General features: G+C 35.3%; 1 long non-coding RNA gene across 1 annotated transcript; it reads right to left on the bottom strand.

Moving 5' to 3' along the window:
* Window positions 1-827: 827 nt before the first annotated feature.
* Window positions 828-13774, bottom strand: LOC107984175 (uncharacterized). The gene is made up of 3 exons (XR_001747290.1): window positions 13694-13774; window positions 1877-1951; window positions 828-1278 (listed from the first exon to the last, which is right to left on the bottom strand). It is a non-coding gene; the product is annotated as an uncharacterized LOC107984175 (long non-coding RNA).
* Between the last annotated feature and the right edge of the window lie 11195 nt (window positions 13775-24969).

The following is a 24969-nucleotide window of genomic DNA, read 5'->3' as shown; positions in this document are numbered from 1 at the left end:
TCCTGACCTTGTGGTGATCTGCCCACCTCAGCCTCCCAAAGTGCTGGGATTACAGGCGTGAGCCACCGCACCAGGCCAGCAGCCACACTTTTAAGAGTTCTTATTCAATTCTTACTGAAGAGAAACTGCAAGGGCCTCACAGGGCCCGACTGAGCAGCGTTCAGGGTTTACAGTATAAATGCATGTCAATGTTAGTTATATAGGAACCTGCATGTATTTCCCATTCTAGGGTGTGGAGTGGGTGATTCTCAACAGATACTTCAGTTATCTCTAGAGTCCCTGGTAGGTATTGCTGAGGCTGAGCCCTGCTGCCCCTGGCTGGCCTGTGAGAGCCAGGTTTCATCAGCGGAGAGCAGGAAGCTCCATGAAGCACCCCTCAGAGAATGTGGGATTCAGGAGGCATGTTTCATGCAAGGCTTGCTATACATGACACTTACACTTGAGTCCCTACCTTAGAAAAAGAAAAACTCTGTTCCTAGTAAAGGAATGGCGGCAACATAGACCCCATGGGAGAAGGAGTCTTCTTTAGGCCACAGAGTAACTTGCTTTGATGCTGAAATCAGGCCTGGTTAAGGCTGGGCTGCCTATTTCTGCTACAGAGAAGGATGAGCCTGACCCTTTTCCTCTCTCCATGGAGACAGCCCTTCCCTAGGGTGGCTTCCTGGATCCTTCATAGAATCTCCTTTCCTCTACCACCATTTTTCAGCCCAGCTTATATACATTTCTATTCCTCTGCCCAGCACGTCGCTATGGACAGGACTCAGTGAGGAAAGCTAAACAGATTGAAAATGTAAACAAAACAAAACAAAACAGAAAAACCTACCTCACACATGCACACACCCCTGAGTAATCATGCTCTCTTTGTGTTCTCATGCATGGTGGTGCCCAAAAGGCCATAGAAATTTGACTGTTGAGGAAACTGAATCCAGGGAAGCTTAGTGACTCACTCAGAGTCACACAGCAGGCTGTGGCTGACTCAGAACTTGAGCCAGCATTCCAGACTCCTTGTCCACTGCTCTTCCTGCTCAGATCATGTATGGACACATGTAGTGGTGCAGGATATGCCTCATTTTATCATCCCAGAAGCTCCTCTTTTTGCAGCGAAATGGAACTCATTCCAAAACATAGGAAGACTGAGGATACTCCCTGAAGATGCCAAAACCTCACCTCCTTCTGGTTGCACTATGGAGCTGGACAGTGAGGGTTCCTAGTGGCAGGACAGTTTAAAGTCAGGCAGCGACGCCATTGGCACCAGTTGTGTGGTCTGTACAAAAGGGACTGGAAGGAAATGGAATAAGTCTCAGTGCTTTCATCTGCATGATGGGCATATTAACAGGCTCTATCACACAGGTCTATGGAAAGGATTGAGATATAAAAAGATCATACATTTATTTTTCTTAATTTTCCAATGTTTTATTTTTAGTTTATATGTATACATAGTAAGTGTATATATTTTTGGGGAGAAGATCATGCATTTCCTAGGACAGGACTAATACATTTAGCTGTGGCTATTATCAAAGAGCACCAAGACCTTAGGTGGGGCAACCAGACTGGCTATGGGGCTTGATGTAAGCCAGACCCATGACCCATAAACTATTTCAGGTAGGAAGTAAGCAATACTATAACTTGGACTCGAGGGGGAGCAAAAGGGCACCCCTCAATGGTGATGGCTGCCCACTTGGTCTCAACACTGTAAAACTTGGGACTTGCTGCCAAGCTCCACCAGGCAGGGGGCAGAGGACACTGAGTCTCCTCCAACTGAGTCAGGAGTGGCTCAGGAGCTGACACTGGCCTAAGCTTGCAGCAAAGGGCCCCTACGTACCAGGCTAGGCAGCTCTGGAGAAAGCAGAAGTGGATAAATAAGGTGTGGACTCACCAAAGACAGTTCCAAAGTCAATTTCACTCTGACACACTCTCTGTGATCTTCCACAGTCAGCACAATGCCTGCCCCCTGTGGGTGTTGTATAAATATTTGTTGAATGAATGAATCAATCATTCAACAGACCAAGGCCAAATCAGAACCCCAAACCCTAAGGTCTTTATACTCTCACTGTCCATCCATCGATCTTCCTGTCAGAAATCAGAATATACCTTTGCAATACCCTTTGCTAGCCTTTCAGTTATCTTTTGAATAGAGGCTCTGAGCCTTGAAAATATTGCCTGGGAAATATTAACACCCATTTGAGTATCTCCCAAACACCTCAATTAACTATATGGTGCTGTCTGGCCAGGACCTTATTTCAGTATAATGTGAACCTGAGACAGCAGCACGTCCTAGTCGCATCCTTGAAATGCCTAACACCTTCATTCATGCTTGGCCCTGGATTGCGGGGAGATCTGCAAACCTCATCAGAGCGTGGCTTCCCAAGGGCCAGGTCACAGGGCACTTTGCAGCCTGAATTCATCCAGGACTGCCTCTGGCTGAGCACACTAATTTGTTGACCAGGTTGGGTGCCCTTGGCAGCTCCAACCACCACGTAGATACTCCAGTCAGCTTTTCTACCTCAAAGAATGGAGGTTTTCAAACTCTGTTGGCCATGATCCACAGTAGGAAATACATATTGCAGTGACCCAGTGCATATATGCATACAATGTATTTTATCATTCTCACATACACATTTTCCCCCCACATTTGAACATCTCTGAAATTTGGATATGTTTTACAAATTATGACATCTTGCCATTAATTGGCAGCATTTTTTTCTTTCTGGGTGATACATAAAGTTTTGCATTTTCCAATAAATGATGACTGTGATTCAGTGAAATATGGCATATGTGTAATTAAAAACCACTTTTTATAAAAACTATCTTTGCTGCATGTTGCTCTATGACATTTTCTGTGTGTTATTTTATTTCTTTTCCTTTTAATGCTGTTCACTGCTACCCATTTAGTCAACTTGGACCACCCTCTAGAGGGGCTTCAACTGTTATTTTCAATACATTGTCACAGGGACAGAGGAGGGTGTTAGGGAACTCTGTGACTAAAGAGTTTTCCATAAATGGGTGGACCTCAGTTTACAAGCATTAAGTTATTGGGCCAGGAGGGGGAACAGATCATGATTAGGAGAGTGGAAAAGAAAGATGACAAATCACTTTAAGTCAGACAAACCTCTTTCTGTACTAGCTCCCTTACTTACTAATCATAGAACTGTGGATATATTTTTAAAAATTATTAGTGTCTTTAGTTTTCTCACTTGTAAAACACTGAACAGAGCTCCTGTCATTCAGAGCTGTTGTCAACATGACAGTTAAGAGTGTAAAGCACTGACCTGGGGCCTGCATGTAGTAGGCACTCAATAAATCGTGGCAATCATGACATTGGTGATGATGACACTCAGTAACTAGTAGGTGTTATTATTAAAAGTCACAAAAACAGCTAGTACGCAACATGACATTGGCTGGTGTAAAGATCTTACAATTATTTTTAAAGTTTCATTGTATTCATTTGATTATATAGTTTCTTGCCATCACAACAAACACTCCTATTCATGTCTAATTCGATACCTGGTGAGTCCACATAAGCATTTGGGTCCCCACTGATGAGAGCACCATGGCCAGGTCACCCACTTGATCAGGTTCTCTTGCTTTTTGTTGTGCATCTCATCTTATTGTAGGCATTCAAACTGTGGGCTCAGGCAAGCCTTTCCAGTGTGATCATATTAATTTTATATTTTATGTGTTAACATGTGCCTCCAATAACTTGCTTTCCTTGCTCACCATGGTGATGCATTTTTCCTACTTTATGTCCTCGCTCATTGATTATGATGAGCTGCTGACTATTTGAACCTGGTACTTTTACTTGATCACCTCTACGCAGTTTCACTCCCATTCATTTCCAGTTTCTCTTTTATCAGTGTTCTCTCTCAGTCCTTATAGGCCTAGATGTTCATTGTGGTTTCAGCATCTATTTGATCTCCCCTCTCGTGTTTCATTAGCATTTCTTCAATAGTTTCTCAGGGTTATTTCTCATGATTCAGCCATTGTATACTTCTTAAAACTTTTAAGCCTTTGAATAACTGGAGGAATGTCTCACAGAGTCATAACATTTTTTGGTTATATGAATTAACCCTCAAAAATGTATTCAATTATCAGAAATACTTTAATGCATTATATTGGGTTTAAAATGATTAAGGTATGTTTATTATTATGTAATGAAGAAATTCTAAGCTTAATTTCAAAAATGGTAAGTAAGTGTTTAGAGATGCATACAATTCTAGTAAATAGATAATTTCTACCTGTCTCCTGTCATTATCAACGTTTGTAAACTAACGGGCATGGTTTTCTTTTGAATACCAGATGTTTGTGTGTTCATTAGCTCGACTGAATGTGTGAAACATTCGTTGACTTCTTTAGCTCAGTATGTAGAAAGGTAGGTGGGTATATAAGAAAGGAGGAAGAACTGTAGGAAGATATATACGTTGGTATATAGACAGGTAATAAGGATAATTATCATCATTATTATTTTCCTTGGTTTTTTCAGGATTAGCCATGTGAAATACTATTATAATTTGTTGCGTGTGTTACAGGTCTCTTAGTTTGCAAAAAGCATTCACCCTCCTGATCTCCTAACTACTCAATAATAGAAGCTAAGTAAATATTCCCATTTAACAGAAGTGGACATAGAAGTCCAGAGAGGTGAGCTCCATGAGCAACACATTAGATGCAGTAATGTAATGCCATGAAGAAATGGCAAATCTGGAGCTGAATCCCTGGGATCCTAATTCAGTGCTCCTTCTACAATACTAGGTAGGCAGAGATGACAAGAAAAAATGCTGGAAGAAGCAATGGGTACTCCTCTCCCTAGTGCTTCTGTGAAGGGCTTTGGTTCCATTTAAAAAGTAGAATACTCTAAAAGTGGTCACAGTCCTTGGCTCAAGAATTTTGGCTATTTCATAAAGCAACATTAAAACAAAATGGCCCCAGGTCATAAAGATTGCATTGTACTGAGAAATGACCTTGTACAGTGGTCAACCTCAGTCCCAGACAAGCTTGCAAAGCAGAAAATCTTATTTTCCACTTTTCCTGACCAGCTTTTCTGGAGCCCTGAGCTCTGTTTCTTGTGAATGGGGACACTGAGCTAAGAACTGAGATTTCCTGATGCCTAGATATGATATTTACTCATTACCCATATATTTTTCACCTGATATCTGACCTTTGCAGGCCAAAGGGCCAGTTTCTGTTGAGTTCTGATAAAGTCAGTCCACAAATGTTATTTGCTGCTCATCTCATCTGTGACCATCTTCTGCTGGGCATTGGTGCCATCTTATTCTAATCTCTGATTGTTGAAATACAGCTCAGTCCTTGCAGGGATAGGGTCTAGTACATGCCAGAACTTCTTAACATGTAATTTTAATTTTCACAACAAACTTATGAGGTTGGTGCTATCATTTCACTTTACAGACATGAAGATTGAGGCTTAAAAAGGCTAAGCAAACTCACCAGTGGTGAACAGCTACTGCACAGTAGAGCTAGGATCCAAACCCACACCTGTCTGATGTCAAAGTATTAAATTTTACACTCTGTCATTGGCACCTGAATACTTTGTTTTCAAACCCCCAGCTCACCAGCGGTTTGGACCCCAAATTTGAAAGAAACACTATCACCCAACTCAATTCTTCTGACCATGAACAAACATCCCAAGCGGTATGAGAAATTTTAGCAGCCATGGTGCAGAGCTCTCTGAAGCCTGATATAGATTAGGAACAGAGAGAAGATTAGAGGTGTGTATATTATGGATTGTGGGCATAAGACTTGGATAAGGAAAAGATTGCATTGTATTGAGAAATGGCCTTATTTGAAGTAAGGAAGAGACACTCCGTTGATTGGCCACATCCCAAGATGCTAGCATGGCAGTGAAGGTGGGCTTGGAAGGGGAAAAGGAGGAACCTACAGCCCTATTTCTGCCCTGGGTGGTATAAGAGAGTTGAAGGAATTAGGGGAAGAGGAGTGTGCTCCTGGGGGTCACCTCTCTTGAAGGGAGAAGAGAGGCTTCGAGACGGAGTCCCCTTCTACTTGTGTATTTTGTATGGAACAGACATCTCCACACCTTAGTTTCTTTGAATTCCAGGTATTGGAAACAGAAATAGCAAAAACATGTATGCTTTACTACTTCAGATCTACTGAAAATCAGGTTTCTTGACAAGCTAGGATGGGGCTGTCAGTGAGGGGTCGTTCCTGTAATATCAACTTCTGGGTGCAGAGTAGCTACAGAGGGACACAAGGGGCAAAGAGAAAGAGTCTGTGCATTCTTGTAATCATCAACCAATAGTGGAAATGGCAGAGTGACAGAGTAAAGTAGGGAGGAAGAGGGGAGAAGTGGTCGGCAGACACAGTGCTGGGGGAGCAGACAGTGAATGGCGCAGTGGGGGAGCAGACAGTGAATGGCTGGGGGAGAGCGGTGGGGGAGTCTGAGAAGGCTCCTTGTGAACATATTTTGAGCCTTGGAAGATGAGGTAGGTGGGACGCACAGGAAGGAGAGGAACAGCATTCCCACCAGGGAACCTTGTTTGGAGAAGGTACTGAAGTTGATGCCCACAGTCCCTGTGCTGTTTCTTGGCCAGTGTAGGGGACTGTCTTGAATGGCATATGAAAATGAAGTGAAAGATGTCATGGAAAGCACGTGCCTGGGGTGGCTATAACACCTTGCTGCCCTGTTTGCCAATCTGTTAAATGGGAGAAATAATCCGTTTTACAGAAATGTCAGGAGGATTAAAAGTGGTGGTGTATGTCAAGGATCCAGCCCACTGCTTGGCATAAAATAGATGCCCTGTGAACAGCCACTTCTTACTCATTAAAAAGGGAAGATGATGGGTCCTTGGGGCTTCTTTCATATACATTTAAATGGGCGTTCAAAAGGATCTTGGAGCCCCTCTTGGAAACAATAGAATGCTTCCATTGCACTGCACCCCAGGAGGCTGGAGAGAACTCTACTGGGCACCCTATAGGGAACCAACTTCTATTCTTCCTGCTGTAGCTTGCAGTAGGGAGGTCTGGGACCTGATGATTAGGGGCAGACCAGCAGGGGCTGAGGCCCCAAGTCACCCATGCTGATGGACTCTGCCCTGCTGCGTGTGCGTATTCACGCATGAGTGTGTGTGCCTGTGCACATGTGTGTATCTGTGCTCAGGTGTATAAGCAATCATACAAAGGAGGAAGAGAAATGAATCAAAGGACTCTACTACAGAATTCCACCAAGCCACCATGACAATCAAAGAAAAGGAAAAATTTAAAGAATTTATAAAATAACTAGAAAACAATTCATAACATAACAGGAACAAAACCTTACATATCAATGTAAACCTTGATTGTAAATGGATTAAATGTTCATTTAAAATATATAGACTGGCTTAATAAATTTTAAAACATTTTCCAGCTATATGCTGTTTACAAGAAACTCATGTTGCCTGTAAAGGAGTAGAAAAAGATATTCCATGCAAATAGAAACCAAACTCAAAAAGTAGAAGCTATACTTATATCAGGTAAATCAGACTTTAAGTCAAAAACAGTTAAAAAAGGGCTAAAGGGTTACTATATAATAATAAAGGGGTCAGTTCATCAAGAAGCTATGATAATTATAAATATATATTTATAAAATGCTGCATCACCTAGAATTATAAAAGCAATATTTAGTCAGAAACAGAGAGATAAGCAGCAATACAATAATGCTAGGGAAATTCAATATGCCATTCAGAGCATTAGACAAATTATCTAGACAGAAAATAAACAAACAAATATTGGACTAAAATTTGACTTTAGACCAAATGACTTAACAAACATTTATAGAACATTCTACTCAACAACTGCAGAATATACATTCTTCTCATCAGCACATGAATTATTATCCAAATTAGACCACATTTTAGGCCACAAAATAAGTCTCAACAAATTTTAAAATACTGAAATTAGATTAGGTATCTTCTCAGACCACAGTGGAGTAAAACTAGAAATCAATACCAAGGGAAACTCTGGAAACTATACAAATAAATGATATTTAAATAACATGAATGACCATGAAGTCAACAAAGAAATTAAGATGAAAATTATTTATAAAATGAATTCTAAACTTGGAAGCCAAAAGATAACCATGAAAACACATAGAAGTAAAAAACCCATTGGTAAAGCAGATACACAAATGAGGAAGAGCAAGGACTTATGGTAACATAACAAAACACTAACAAAGAACAATGTCAAAATAAGAGAAAAAGTAAGAAACAAAGAATATATAAAATAATTAATATAACAGAAACAATACCTTAGATATCAAAGACAACCCTGAATGTAAATGAATTAAATTATTCACTTAAAATAATAGACTGTGTGAATGAATTTAGAAAACATGGTCTGACTACAGGCTGCCTACAAGAAATGCACTTCACCTATTAAGACACATATAGACAAGAAAGTAAAAGCATGAAAAAAGATATTTCATGCAATGAGAAACTAAACATAAGCAGAAGTAGCTATACTTATATCACATAAACCAGAATTTAAATTAGAAAAAGAAACTCATTAAATAATAATAAAGTGACCAATCCAGCAACAGAATATAACAATTCTAAATATATATATTAACCAAACACCAGAATACCCAGATTCATAAAGCATATATTACTACAGCTAAAGAGAGGGATAGACTATAGACTGCAATGTAACAATTGTGGGAGACTTCAATACCCCACCTCAGCATGAAAAAGATTATTGAAACAGTAAATCAAAAAACAAACACTGGATTTAAACTGGAATTTAGGCCAAATGATTTTAATAGACATTTACAAAACATTTTATCCAACAACAGCAGAATAAGCATTCTTTATATTAGCACATTCTCCATAACAGACTACAAATGTCAACATTTAAAAAAATAGGCTACAGATGGGCCGGGCGTGGTGGGTCACACCTGTAATCCCAGCACTTTGGGAGGCCGAGGTGGGTGGATCACAAGGTCAGGAGATCGAGACCATCCTGGCTAACACTGTGAAACCCAATCTCTTTAAAAATACAAAAAATTAGCCGGACATGGTAGCATGTGCCTGTAGTCCCAGCTACTCAGGAGGCTGAGGCAGGAGAATCACTTGAACCCAGGCGGCGGAGGTTGCAGTGAGCTGAGATTATGCCACTGCACTCCAGCCTAGGTGACAACACAAGACTCCATTTCAAAAAAAAAAAAAAAGGCTACAAATGACAACAACAAAAAATTAAAAAAACTGTAGCAAATATCTCAAGCCACCCTAAAATACAACTAAAAATCAACACCAAGAGACACTTTGGAAACTATATGAATACATGAAAATTAAATAACACCATCCCAAATGACCATTGGGTCAATTAACAGTTAAGATTGACATTTTTTAAAGTATTGAAAGAAATAAAAAAGAAAACACAACATATCAAAATCTATAGTATACAGCAAAAGCATTAAGAACAGATAGGCTATAGCAATAGACATCTAGATCAGAAAGCAGAAAGATTTCAAATCAACAATCTAACAATGCACCTCAAGGAAGTGAAAAAATGTGAACACACCAAACCCAAAATTTGCAGAATGGAAGAAATAATAGAGATTCGAGAAGAACTAAAGAGAGACTAAAGAAAGAAATACAAGGGATCAATGAAATGATAAGTATATTATTCAAAAATATAACCAATATTGATAAACTGCCAGCTTGACTGACCAAGAAAAGAGATAAGAACCAAATCAGCAAAATAAAAAAATAGAAATTACAATTGATATCACAGAAATACCAAAGATAATCAGAGAATATTATAAATGTTAACAAAGGGGAAAATCTAGAGGAAATGATTGAATTTCCATAAACACACAACCTATCCAGATTGAATCAGAAGTAGAAAAACTGAACTAATCAATGAGTAATGAGATTGAGTCAGTAATAAAATGTCTCCCAGCAAAAAAAGAGACAAGATCAGATCTATTAACTGCTGAATTCTTCCAAGTTTATAAAAAAAGAATGAACACCAATCCTCCTCAAACTATTTCAAAAACACATAAGAGAAAGGAACGCTTTACTCATTCTGAGAGGCCCTAAAACCAAACCAGACAAGGATCCAAAAACAACAACAAAAACTACAGGCCAGTATCTGTAATAAACATTGATGCAACAATCCTTAATAAAATGCTAACAAACCAAATACAACAGCACATCAAAAGGTAATACACCACAATCAAGTGAAATTTGTACCAAAAATGCAAGGATGGTCACCTACACATATCAATACACTAAATAAATTGCCTCAGTAGAATGAAGGACAAAACCCATATAACCAGGTCAATAGATGTAGAAGAAGCAATTGAAAACATTCAACATCTGTTCATATTAAACCCCCCCCCCCAACAAACTAGGCATAGAAAGAGCATTCTGCAAAATTATAAAGGTCATATGTGACAAACCCAAAGCTAACAATATACTGAACAGACAAAAGCTGAAAGCTTTTTCTCTAGGACCTAGAACTAAACAGGAATATTCACTTTCACAAATCTTATTGAACATGAAAGTCCTAATCAGTAATCTGGCAAGAGAAAAAAATAACAGACATCCACATTGACTTGCAAAAGGAAGTCAAATTGTCCACTTTGCAGATGACATAATTTTGTATATAGAAAAACCTGAAAAGACTCCAACAAAAGACTATAAGAACTCATAAACAAGGCCAGGCACTGTGGCTCACACCTGTATTCCCAGCACTTTGGGGTGCTGAGGCAGGTGGATCACCTGAGGCCAGGAGTTTGAGAACAGCCTGGCCAACATGGTGAGACCTTGTGTCTACTAAAAATACAAAAATTAGCCCGGCATGGTGGCACGTGCCTGTAGTCCCAGCTAGTTGGGAGGTTGAGGCAGGAGAATCGCTTGAACCCAGGAGACAGAGGTTGCAATGAGCTGAGATCATGCCATTGCACTCCAGCCTGGGCAAAAGAGCAAGACTCCATCTAAAACAACAACAACAACAACAAAAAAAAAAAAAAAAGAGAGAAAATCAATGAAAAAAATAGAAAAGAAAATAATAGAACTCATAAACAAATTCAGCAACTTTGGAGAATACAAAATCAACATACAAAAATCAGTAGTGCTTCTCTACATTGATAATAAATAGTCAAAAAATGAAGCAAGAAGGCAATCCTGTTTACGATAGCTATATAAATTACCCAGGAGTAAATTCAATCAAAGACATGAAAAATCTTTACAAAGAAAACTACGGAATACTGATGAAAGAAATTGAAGAGGACACAAACAAATGTAAAGAAATCTCATGCTCATGGATAGAAAGAATTATTATCATTAAAATGACTACATTGTCCAAAGAAATCTAGAGTCAATGCAATTGCTATCAAAATAACATCGTTTTTATAGAAATAAAAAAACAGATCTAACATTTGTATGAAAACAAAAAAAGAACCATAATAGTGAAAGTAATAAAAAACCAATGGGACAAAATAGAGAACCCAGCAATACACTTATGTTTGTATAGCCTATTGATTTTCAACAAAAGAAGCTAGAACGTGTACTGAGGAAAATATACCCTCTTCAATAAATGGTGCCGGGAAAATTGAATATCCATATGCCAAAGAATGAAACTATATCTCTCACCATACATAAAAGCTAACCCAAGGTGGATTAATGACTTAAACATAAGACCTAAAAGTATAAAACTACCAGAAGAAAACATTTTAAAAAAATGAGAACTTTGGTCTCGGCAAAGATTTTATGGCTAAGACCACAGCCACAGCCAACTAAAAGCAAAATAGACAAAATGAAACTATAATAAATGAAAACGCTTCTGCACAGCAAAAGAAACAATCAAAACAGTGAAGAGACAAACTGTTGCATAGGAGAATATATTGCAAAGTATTCAACTGACAACCAATATTTAGAATATATAAGGAACTCAAATATCTCAACAATAAAAAAAAGATCTCATTAAAAGGGGGTCAAAGGACATTAATGGATATTTCTCAAATGATGACACATTAATGGAAAACAGGTCCAATTAAAAATGCTTAACATCCTCTGGGAAATCCAAATCAAAAGCACAATGAGACATCATCTTACCCCATTAGAATGACTAAGATTAAAAAGACAAAAAATAATACATGCTGTTGAGAATATGAAGAAAAATAATACTTATACACTCTTGGTGGGAATGTAAATTATTAAAACCACTATAGAAAACAGTATAGGTACTTCTCCAAAAAGTAAAAATAGAACTTTCAGATCATTTAGGAAACCCACTACTGGCTATTTACACAAAGGAAACTAAATCAGTATATCAAAGGGATACATGCACTCACATGTGTATCACAGCATTATTCAAAAAAGCAAAGACACGAAATCAACCAGTGTGTCTTCAATGAGCCATGGATACAGAAAATGTGGTTCAGGCACACAATGGAATAATACTATTTAGCCACAACAAATAATGAAATTATGTCATTTGCAGCAACATGGGTGCAACTGGAGGTGACTATGTTGAGTGAAATAAGCCAGGCACAGAAATTCAAATATCACATATTCTCAACTCATACATAAGAGCTAAAAATTTGATCTCATAGAGACAGAGGATAGAATGATAGATACCAGAAGTGTGGAAGGGTGGGAGGGAGAAATAAAGAGAGGCTGATGAATGGGTAAAAACACACTTACATGGAAAAAAGTAAGTTTTAATGCCCAGTAGAAGGCTAGGGTAACTTGTGTTGACAATATCTTGTATATTTCGAAGTAGCTGAAAGAGAGGTCTTGAAATGTTCTCATCACATAGAAATGATATATATTCAAAATGATATCCTATATACCTTGACTTGATCATTACACATTCTATGCATGTAACAAATACTTACATGTATCCCATGCATATGGAAAACATTATGTGTCAATAAAAGAAAAACAAAAAATACAAAGTTTAAATCTAAGCAATTTTAAATTAAATAGAGTAAAATATCCCATCACAAAAATTTTTATATTGTTAATTTGCTTTAATGCCCCATTCCGTGGCAACTAATGAATAAACACAAGATTCCGACCTTCTCTATCATTGGCTTTTTCTTTCTAGACCGTGGGATACATTTATATATGATGAATGCATTCATTACTAAGAAAGAGCGAAAGAAAATTTAAGTTTCTTGAAATTCAGTCATCTCAAATGACTATCTACCAATTAACCTACTAATTTCAGAATCCGCCCCATGAATGTTTTCCTAATAAAATTACTACCATAAAGCCAGCATATGAAGATGCATTTAAGCTAGACTTCTGTTGCCTTGTGAATCAATTTAAAAAAAAAAAAAAACACCTTCTTTAAAAAAAATCCGTGTCATAGTATTGACTTGTAGTACATTGGGCAGCAAGCCTCTATTGCTTGGTAATAATTTGAGCCACAATTTGAGGCTAAACATGCATTTATTTTTATAAAATAAAGATTATAATCTGTAATTTTATATTATACTTTAAAATTATCTGCTGTTATTGTGAAAATTTTACAATTATTTGAAATGAACTCAGTGACTGCATAATATTAAATCAAAAGAATGTCATAAATTTACCATTTTTCTACTGGACATTGAGTTTTCTGCCATTTAAATTTATATTTAATTGTGTGATGATTTCATAAAAATTTCTTGGCCTCACCAGATTGTAAAATTTGTGTTGTTTTTGGTCATTGCTACATTCTTATTTCAGAGCAGTACCTGCTAGGCCTGATGGATGATCTGATAGAAAACTGGCTTCAGCAAGGAGCTTCCACAGGTGACCTTGGTTCTGCAGTGATAACAGCTCCTATTGCATAGGGTAATAAAATTATTCAGAAAAAGCAGGGATACAACATCTACATTTTCCTTGCTTGAAATGGGTTGCCAAATTAGTACTAAGATTTATCTTTTTCTTCTCCAATTAATTTATAATCTATTCCACCTTTCTCTTTCCTGCCCTACCAATCACTGCTCTGTTTGAGGACAGTTGCAGAAAATTTTCTACCAGTATGTTTGCTACAATTTTATTCTACAATTCTGTGAAAATGTGCAACCTTCCAACTCTCAATCAGCATCCCTTCCCTTTCGCAGTTCTTGTTCTGATTCTTTCAAGTTTTTTGAAAGTGTCAGAGAAGAAATAGTTGAACCAATATGTAAAATGACTTTCAATTTACCAACATAGGAAGAACACACATTTGTGACCCCAAAAATGGGTGAAGTTGGCCCTCCTCATCCATGGGTTCCACAACCCTGGATTCAAACAACTGTCAATCAAAAATGTTTTTATAAAAAGTATCTATAATAAACATGTACACATTTTTTTCTTGTCATTATTCCCTAATCAATACAATATAACAACTATTTAGATAGCATTTACATTGTATTAGGTACTATAAGTGATCTAGTGATTAAAGTATATGAGAGAATGTGTAGAGCATAGATTATATGTAAATACCATACCATTTTATATAAGGGACTTTTGCATGCATGGATTTTCATATCCGAAATGAGTCCTGGAATCAAGTTGCCAGGAATACTAAGGAACTACTCTATATAATAAAATGTGAACAAATAGCATTCAAAAAAACTCTAGCCATTTTCTACAATAATTTGTTAAAATGAATAACAGACTCAAGTCTTTCCCTGGCCCATATGGCTTGGGTGGCAGCCCCTGAGATGCAGCTTCCTTCTAGAAAGATGCACATTAAGATCACTGTGTGCAGTTGAGGGGTAGAGTCATATGATGGCTCCCAACTGAGAACAGAACACATTCTTTCTTTTTCACATTTCTACTGCCTGAGATTGTCATCTTGAGAGGCATACCATCTTGCCACAGGAAAGAGGTTCCTAGCAGGCTCTGTCAAACATCTGTTTTCATGTATTTACTATGTACCTACAGTTGCAGATCATGGAAAATTTGAGAATTTATCAAATTTTTTTTCCATTTTGAAAAGTTTCTCTTCTAGTTTGAGAAGACACAATGCTAATAGTAAAAATGAAAGAGGGGTTATCACTACTGATCTCACTAAGACTTAAAGCATGATAAAAGAATATTATGAACAACTTTATGCCCACAGATTTGACAATCTAAATAAAATAGCAAAACTCCTTAGAAGAAATAACCTATCAGAACTCAAGCAAAAAGAGATAATTTGAATAGCAATTATACTTATTAAAGAAATTTTGGCCGGGTGCAGTGGCTCACACCTGTAATCCCAGCACTTTGGGAGGCCAAGGCGGGCAGATCACGAGGTCAGGAGATCGAGACCATCCTGGCTAACACTGTGAAACTCCGTCTCTACTAAAAATACAAAAAAATTAGCCAGGCATGGTGGTGGGCGCCTGTGGTTCCAGCTACTCAGGAGGCTGAGGCAGGGGAATGGCACAAACCCAGGAGGCAGAGCTTGCAGTGAGTAGAGATCACGCCACTGCACTCCAGCCTTGGCGACAGAGCCAGACTCTGTCTCAGAAAAAGAAATCTTGAGTCAATAATCAATAACCTTACCAAATAGAAAGTACCAAGTCCAGACAAGATTACTAATAAATTCTACCAATCATTTAAGGAAGAAATTATAACAATTCTCTACAGTCTGCTCCAGAAAATAGAACCAGAGTGAATACTTCTAAACTCACACTATGAGGCCAATATCATCATGATACAAAATCTAGACCAAGACTTTACAAGAAAAACAGCCACAGAATAACTCACATAAACATAGATGTAAAAAGTTTCAATACAATATTAGAAAATGAAATTCAAAAATGTATAAAAAGAATTATACACCACAACCCAGTGAGAATTATCACATGCATTCAAGGTTGGTTCACCATTTGAAAATCAATTAATCGGCCTGGCGCAGTGGCTCACACCTGTAATCCCAACACTTTGGGAGGCCGAGGTGGGCAGATCACGAGGTCAAGAGATCAAGACCATCCTGGCTAACACAGTGAAACCCCATCTCTACTAAAAATACAAAAAAAAAAAAAAAATTAGCCAGGCATGGTGGCAGGCACCTGTAGTCCCTGCTACTTGGGAGGCTGAGGCAGGAGAATGGCATGAACCCAGGAAGCAGAGCTTGTAGTGAGCCAAGATCAGACCACTGCACTCCAGCCTGGGCAACAGAGCAAGACTCTGTCTCAAAAAACAAATTAATTAGTTCATTATATTAATAATCTAAAGAAAAATCACATAGCCACATCAATGTCAAAAAAGCATTTGACAAAATCCAAACCTGATTCATGATAAAAACTCTCCATAAACTAGGAATAAAGGGAAACTTTCTCAATTTGATAAAGAATATCAACAAAAAAACTTGCATCTAGTCTCCTACTGAATGCTGAAATACTAGATGCTTTCCTGCTAAGATCGAGAACAAGCCAAAGATGCCTCTTCTCACCATCCCCATACAAGCTTATACTATAAACTCTAGCTAATGGAATAAGAAGATTAAAAGTTCATAGACTGGGAGGGAAAAATGAAAATCTCCTTTTTCACAGACGACATGATTGCCATGACACAAAAATCCCACATGATGCAAAAATCCCAAAGCATAACAAAACAAAATAAACCTCTTAGAATAACCAATTATAATGAGCAATTATAGCAACTTTGATGGATACAAGATTATTATACAAATGTCAATTGCTTTTCTTTGTATCTATAATTAATAATTAGAACCTAAAATTAAAAACACAATGGCATTTACACTAGTAACAAACAAATAAAATAGGTACAAATCTAACAAAATAAGTATGAGATCTATATAAAAACTATAAAATTTTGATTAAAAATTAAATATCTACATTAATAGAGTGATCACTCACATTCATAAATAGATTCAACAGTGTTAGAATGTCTTTACTTCCATACTTCATGCATATTCAATACAACCCCAATCAAAATTCTATCAAGTTAGACTGTGAATACTGACAAACTAATTTTATAGTTATTATAGAAAAGCAAAAGATACAGAATAGCCAAAATATTGAAGAAGAACATGGTTGTGGTAACAATGCTACCCAGCTTTAAGAATTACTATTAAGCTACAGTAATCAAAACAGTGTGGTACTGAAGAAAGAATAGAGAAATAGATTAATGAAACAAAATAGCTCAGAAGTTGACCCAAAAAAATATATTCAACTTCTCTTTGATAAAAGAGCAAAGGTAAGTCAATTGAGAAAAGATAATTTTTTTCATTTTTTTTGAGATGGACTCTCACTCTATCACCCAGGCTGGAGTGCAGTGGCACCATCTCGGCTCACTGCAAGCTCCTCCTCCTGAGTTCACGCCATTCTCCTGCCTCAGCCTCAGCTCCTGTAGCTGGGACTACAGGAGCCCGCCACCATGCCTGACTAATTTTTTTTTTTTATTATTTTTAGTAGAGATGGGGTTTCACCGTATTAGCCAGGATAGTCTCCATCTCCTGGCCTCGTGATCTGCCCACCTCGGCCTCCCAAAGTGCTGGGATTACAGGTATGAGCCACCAGGCCCGGCCCCGAGAAAAGATAATTTTTCAACAAACGATACTGGAAGAACTGGACATTCCCATGCAAAAAGAAGAAAAAAACCTGACACAGACCTTACAACTTTCACAAAAATTAACCCAAAGTAGATCATAGACCTATGTAAAATGCAAAACTACAAAACTCCTAGAAGATAACATAGGGAAGAATCTGAATTACATTGGGATTGGCTTCTTTAATATATCAAAATAATTATCCATGAAAGAAAAAATTATACATTGAACTATATGAAAAATAAAACTGCACTGCAAAAGACACTATTCAAATAGGACAATTCAGAGTGAGAGAAAATATTTGCAAAACACATATCTGATAAAGAACACAATTATATGGAGATTTCTCAGAATATTAAAAACAGAACTACCATATGACCCTGAAATACTCCCACTGAGTATATGGCCAAATAAATTGAAGAGATGTAATAAATGGATAAATGGATAAACAAAACGTGCTATATCTACACAGCAGAATACTATTCAGCTATAAAAAGAAATAAAATCTTGTCATTTGAGGCAACATAGATGAATCTGAGGGACATAGGATTAAATAAAATAAGCCAGAGGCAGAGAGAGAAATACCTTGATCTTACTTATATCTGAAATCTACAAAATCTACGAAAGTGAATTTCACAGAAGAGTAGATATGGCAGTTACCAGTGGTTGTGGGGAAGGGAGAAGATAAGAAGAGATTGGCCAATGGGTACAAAGTTATAGTTAGATAGGAAGAATAAGTTATTGTGTCTATTTCACATCAGGGTGACTCTAGGTAATAATAACATATTGTGTATTTCAAGTTACCTGGAAAAAAGAATCTTGAAAGTTACCACCAAAAAGAAATGATAAAGGTTTGAGGTGATGGATATGCTAACTACCCTGATTTTATTATTATGCAATTTACATATATTTTGAAACATCACACTGTATCTCAAAAACATGTGCAATTTTATGATTAAAAGTCAACTAAATGAATGAATTAGTGAATAAATAAATAAATAAATAAATAAATCTACCAATGACAAAAACAATCCCAAAATTATTGAGCCTGTGCTCTGTGTTCCTTGTGGCATACATTTTTCAGTCAGCCACTGCATTTTTAACTGTATTTTATCTTTGTTTTTGCCTTCATGTTTTCCTTGTTCAGAGCTTGAGGGTCAAAAAGACCTATATTAATGTTATGCTTACATGCTCACTCTCACCACTCCTACTCAACATAGTAATGGAAGTCCTAGCCAGAGCATTTAGGCAAGGGAGAGAAATTAAAGGCATCCAAATAGGAAGAAAGGAAGTCAAATTATCTCTGTTTGCTGATGATATGATTCTATACCTAGAAAACTCTAAGGATTCTTCCAAAAGACTCTTAGACATGATAAGTGACTTCAATAATGTGTCAAGATACAAAACGAATGTGAAATACTCAGTAGGTTTTATATACCCTAATAAAATAAAAGCTGATAAGCAAATCAAGGATGCAATCAAATTTAAAATAGCCACGTATGCAAATTTAAATACCTAAAAATATATCTAACCAAGGAGGTGAAAGATCTCTACAAGATAAACTAAAAAAAAAAAAACAGATGAAAGAAACTGCAGATGAAAGAGGGAAAACATTTCATGCTCATGAATTGGAAGAAATAATATTATTAAAATTTCCATACTACCCAAAGCAATCTGCAGACACAACACAATTCTGTCAAATTACCAATGCCATTTTCAGAAATTTTTTACAAAAGCAATCTTAATATTTATCTGGAATCAAAAAAGAGCCTGAATAGCCAAAGCAGTATTAAGCAAAAAGAACAAAGCCAGAGACATCATATTACCTGACTTCAAAATATATTACAAAGCCATATTAAACAAAATAGCATGGCGCTGGTAAAAACAATGGACACATATATCACTGGAACAGAATGGACAGCCCACAAATATATCCACACATCAGCAACCAACTGGTCTTTTCAACAGTCAAAAAATATACAATAGAGAAAAGACACCCTATTCAATAAATGGTTCTGGGATAACTGGCTAGCCATATGCAGAAAAATAAAACTGGACTCATACCTCTCACCATGTACAAAAAATAACACAACATTGATGATACTTAAATATAAGACCTCAGAAAACAAAAATCCTAGAAGATAACCTAGAAAAATTTCTTCTAGACATTGGCATAGGAAATGAGCTTATGACTAAGACTTCAAAAGCAAATCCAACAAAAACAAAAACTGGCAATTGGAATTCTGCACAGCAAGAGAAACAGTCAACAGGGTAAACACATAACCTGCAGAATGGGTGAAAATATTTACAAACTATGCATCCAACAAAGGACTAATATCTAGAATCTTTAAGGAACTTAAATCAACAGAATAACAAATAACTCCAGTAAAGTGGTCAAAGGACATAAATAAACACTTCTTAAAAAGAAGACATACAAGCAGCCAACAAACATAAAAAATGCTCAACATCGCTAATCAACAGAGAAATGTGAATTAAAGCAACAATGAGATACCATCTCACACCAGTCAGAATGACTATTATTAAAAAGTAAAAAAGTCCCAACCAAGCAAAAACAAAACAAAACAAAACAAAAAAAAAGGATATTGGCAGGGATGTGGAGAAAAGAGAACTCTAGCCAAAGGAAAAAATAATAATATATATATATATTCTAGCAAAAAGTCACCTGAACTTGTATGTTTATTTCAACACTATTAGCAATAGCAAGGACATGAAATAAATCTTCTTATTACAGTAGATCAGACAAAGAAGATATACATCACAGAAGACTATGTAGCCATGTAAAAGAATGAAGTTATATTATTTGCAGCACCATGGATGCAGCTGGAGGCCATTATTCTGAGTGAATTAATGCAGAAGCAGAAAATCAAATACCAAATGTTATCACTTATAAGTAGGAGCTAAACAATAAATATACACAGACATAATGATGGAAACAATAGACACTGGGAACTCTGAAAGGTCAAATGGAAAGACAAATTTACCATTATGTTGAAAAACTAGCTCTTAGGTACTATGTTCACTATTTGGGTAGAAGCCCAAACCTCAGCATGTTACCTTGCCTCTTCCCCTTCCTTTATTATTCCTTGAAAGGGATAAGAAATGTATTTGGTTTTCACAATTCATGACAGGCTTCTGAAAGTCAGAACAACCTTAACATCTGGTGACATGCTTGTATTTTAAAGAACTTTACTGGCATATATTTTATATGACATGGTAATCACATGTTTGAAGTGTAACTTTTCTAGCTTTTTAGTATGTTTAAAATTATGCAATCAGTTACAATATAACTTTAAAATATTTCCATCTTTTTAAAGAAAAATGAATTCTATTTTCATTCTCTTTCCTTTAGCATGACAGATTTAGACACAAATTAGTAAATTTTACATCTCTATATATGAGCCTATTATAAAGATTTATAATAAATGGAATAATAAATGATGTGGTCATTTGGGTCTTTTTTTTAAGTTAGCTTAATATTTTTGTTACATTCCTGTTGAAGCATGCATCATTATGTAATTCTCCTTATCAAGTGGTAATGTTTGCATAGATAATGTATTATTTTTCTTTTACAATTTGATAGATATTAGGTTGTATCTACTTGTACATTTCATAAATCTTGCTTCTCTGAGAATTCATATAAAAATCTTTTTATGGCTGTAGAAATTTCCTTTTACATACATACATGAGAGCAAAATTTATGTTTTGTATGTTGATTATATATTCAAAATTTTGAGGAATAGCCAATTATATTTTTATTTCAAAATGACTGCAATATTTACATTCCCAGTTCTAATGTGTATGGGTTCCACATTCTCTGCATGTTTTCAACACTGATTGTCTCTCAGTTATAACCATTCTAGTGGCTGTTTACTACTATCTCATTGTAATTTGATTTGTATTTCTCTCATGGCGGATACTGAACACATTTTTACACAAAATTTGGCAATTTGTATATTTTCTTTGGAAAAAAAATTTATATAATGTATATTTGTCCATTTAAATTGATTAATTGCTTCATTATTGACTTGTAACAATTCTTTGTAAGTTCTGGATATTACATCCTAAACTGATACGTAATTTAAAATTTATTCTCTTATTGAACATCTTGTCTTTTTGTATTCTTCATGGAAATGTTTAAAGAATAAAACATTTTCAATAAGGTACAATCCATTAGTTTTTTCCTTTTGATTATGGTTTTGGTGTTCTATTTTTTAAAGTTCTTACCTAAACCAAAATCACAAAAATATCTTTTTCCTATTGAAATTTATTGGTATCTTTGACAAAATAAGTTTACCATATTAATGTATTTATTAATGGACCTTCAATTTTATTCTACTGTTCTACTTAGATTTATCTTCATAATAGCACTATACTGTTTATCTACTATAACATTGTAGTAAGAATTGATATTTTTAGTATAAGCCATTGAATTATTTTTCAAATTTGTTGTGTATATTTTATTTTCTTTGTACATTCATATTTTATAAAAAGTTTGTCAATTTCTATTTTAAAACAGAGTTGGGAATTTGCATTGAATCTAAATTTGTTGGTTATTTTAATCTAAATACTAAATATTGTTATTCTTAAACATTGGATGGCTCTCAATTTATTCAATGTTTCTTCAATTTATTTTATTATTTAAAAGATTTTTATGTTATAATTTAAAATATTTTAGTGTAAATATGTTTGTCTTGTAGTTGTGATGTTAATTGATTATTAAATTTTTAGTGAATTTGTCACATATTTTTATGTAGAAGAGTATGTATTATATAATAGAAGATTGTGTTTTTTTTCTAATCTGGAAAATTCTGCCTATTTTTCTAGTATAATTTTCTTGGATAATACCTCTAGTACAATGTTGATTAAAATGGTTTAAATTCTTGTCTTGTTTCAAAACTTATAAATAATGCTCTAATTATTTCACTATTATTTATGTTAGCAGTAGGTTTTAATAGATGACTATAAGCAGGACTCAGATGTCTCTTTCTATTAGTACCTAGCTGTGAATCTTATTACAAATGGATATTGGATTTCTTGTCTTGGCTTTTTCTATGGCTGTTAAAATAATAATTTCCCCTTCACTCAAGTAGTAGTATGCAATACTTTGGTTAATTGTTGAATATTTTGCTAACATTGCATTTGTGAAAATATCCTACTTTGTCATAATGTATAATCTTTTTTATATGTTGTTGGATTCAATTTGTTAGTATTTTTGACAACCTATGTGTCTATATTCATACAAAATATTGGCTCATGGTTTTCTTTTATGTGTGATTCTTTTGTATACCGTTTTTATCATGCTAATACTAACTAACATGAATTGGGAAATGTCACCTTTTCTTATATTGCTCTGAGTTTTGGTATATAATTTGTATTAATTCTTCATTAAAAGTTGATGTAATTTATAATTTAAGCAATTTGTCACTGAGTTTTTTATGTGAAAACATTTTAATGTTCTCTTAACATATAATTATTTATAAATTTTGTTTTTTCATATATGTCTATTTATATAATCAATTTTTTAGTTAACTTTTATAGTTTGTACCTATCAAAACATGTATTTCTATTTTGTAGTATTCCATAAAAATATATTTTCTAGGCAGTTGGCATCAAAAACTCTGGAGTGTTGAGGGGCGGTGGCTAAACCCTGTAATCCCAGCACTTTGGGAGGCTGAGACCGGTGGATCACCTGAGGTCAGGAGTTCCAGACCAGCCCGGCCAACATGATGAAACCCAGTGTTTACTAAAAACAAACACACAAAATTAGCCAGGTGTGGTGGTGAAAGCCTGTAATTCCAGCTACTCAGGAGGCTGAGACAGGATAATCACTTGAGCCCAGGACGGGCAGGTTGTAGTGAGCCGAGATCACACCACTGCACTCCAGCCTGGGAGACAAGAGTGAAACTCTGTCTCAAAACAAACAAACAAACACTCTTGAGTAATAATATAGAATAAGGCTTTAGCCCAATTAATGAATGACTTAAAATTTTCTGTGTTATAGGATGGAGAATATGACTATAACTGCTGTTTAAAACTTTTACTTACTGTTTGATAAAAATAAGTTACTGTATCTAAAGAAAATTATTGAAACTGCCATTTCACCTTGGAATTTATAAAGGCAGAATATGCCTACCTCCTATTTTTTAGCAAATTTTAGGTAAGCCAAAAAATAAATTTTAATAAAACTACAAAATAATATTGTATTTGAAGAATTGTTTGAATAAAAGACAATTTTGTGAATCAGAGTTGCCAGCACTTAGCATATACAATATGCTAGTTGTCATTCTAAGGTATTATTTATATTCTTAATACTTTAGAATTTAAACTTAACAACCCAAAGTTTCCTTGGAAAAAAAAAGTTCACACATTTTTATTTATGTTAGTTTATATTAAAATGTTCATAAAAAATCAACTGTCTTGGCATACAACAAATAAATATAGATAAATAATGTTATATAACTTTATTAGAAAGCTTGATTAAAGCATATAAATAAATGGGCAGCCTTTTGTCCAATAAAGAGAGAATGTATATTATTATCAAATATCAGACAAAGTATATTAAATGGAAAAACTTAAGGTCTACAATATGTCATTTAATTCATAATGGCAGAAATCCAGCAGGTCATAGATTTTGGCCCTGAAAATGACAATAGAAACCATTAAATAAAGTATAAGCAACAAATAATATTTAGCCACATGGACGTTTCATTAAGAGCTTACTTCTGGATTAAGTGAAAAATTAAAATGTAATTTTTATGGATTGAGGAAGTCTAATGAGGAAACATTGTGATTGCAGCCAAAAAGCTTAATACAAAATGATAATTCTGCCAATATTAGCTTAATGCTATAGAAAAAACAGTAATTTCTGGCCACCTATAGGTATTATTCTTTGTAGTAGAGTATTAATATTCCAGCAATTTGTGTAACATAAAATTAGATTTTTAATATAAAAATATAGTCCATAAATTATTTTTGTCTTATGATATATTGGGAAATGGGGGTGTGTTCTACTTGGGATTTCTCAAGAGATGCTGATGTGCCACAAAAATAAATACATGTGAAATGTTTTCATGAGTAGTAATGAATTGATGCTTGCACTTTTTGGTAAAATATATATTTTAAAAAGTCTTAAGGCAGGCAGCTACGATTTTCAGAAAAGTACAAAATAACTAAAAATATCTGACATCCCTAGGACAGGGTTTGAAAAAACGTTTCTTATGAGCAGAAACGAAAAGCATGCAGAAGTAATTATACTTACGTAACATAAGATAGACTTTAATTCAAAACCAGTAAAAGAAGACAAAGAAGGACATTATGCAATGATAAAGGAATGAATTCAGCAAGAGAATTTAACCGTTTTAAATATACGGGCACTTAACAGCGACCATTCAAATATATAAAGGAAATATTATTAGATCTAAAGAGAGAGATAGACTTCAACACATAATAATTGAAAAC

Source organism: Homo sapiens, chromosome 10 (assembly GCF_000001405.40).
Source record: "Homo sapiens chromosome 10, GRCh38.p14 Primary Assembly".
Taxonomy (NCBI): Eukaryota; Metazoa; Chordata; class Mammalia; order Primates; family Hominidae; genus Homo; species Homo sapiens.
This window is presented reverse-complemented; position numbering and strand designations above follow the sequence as displayed.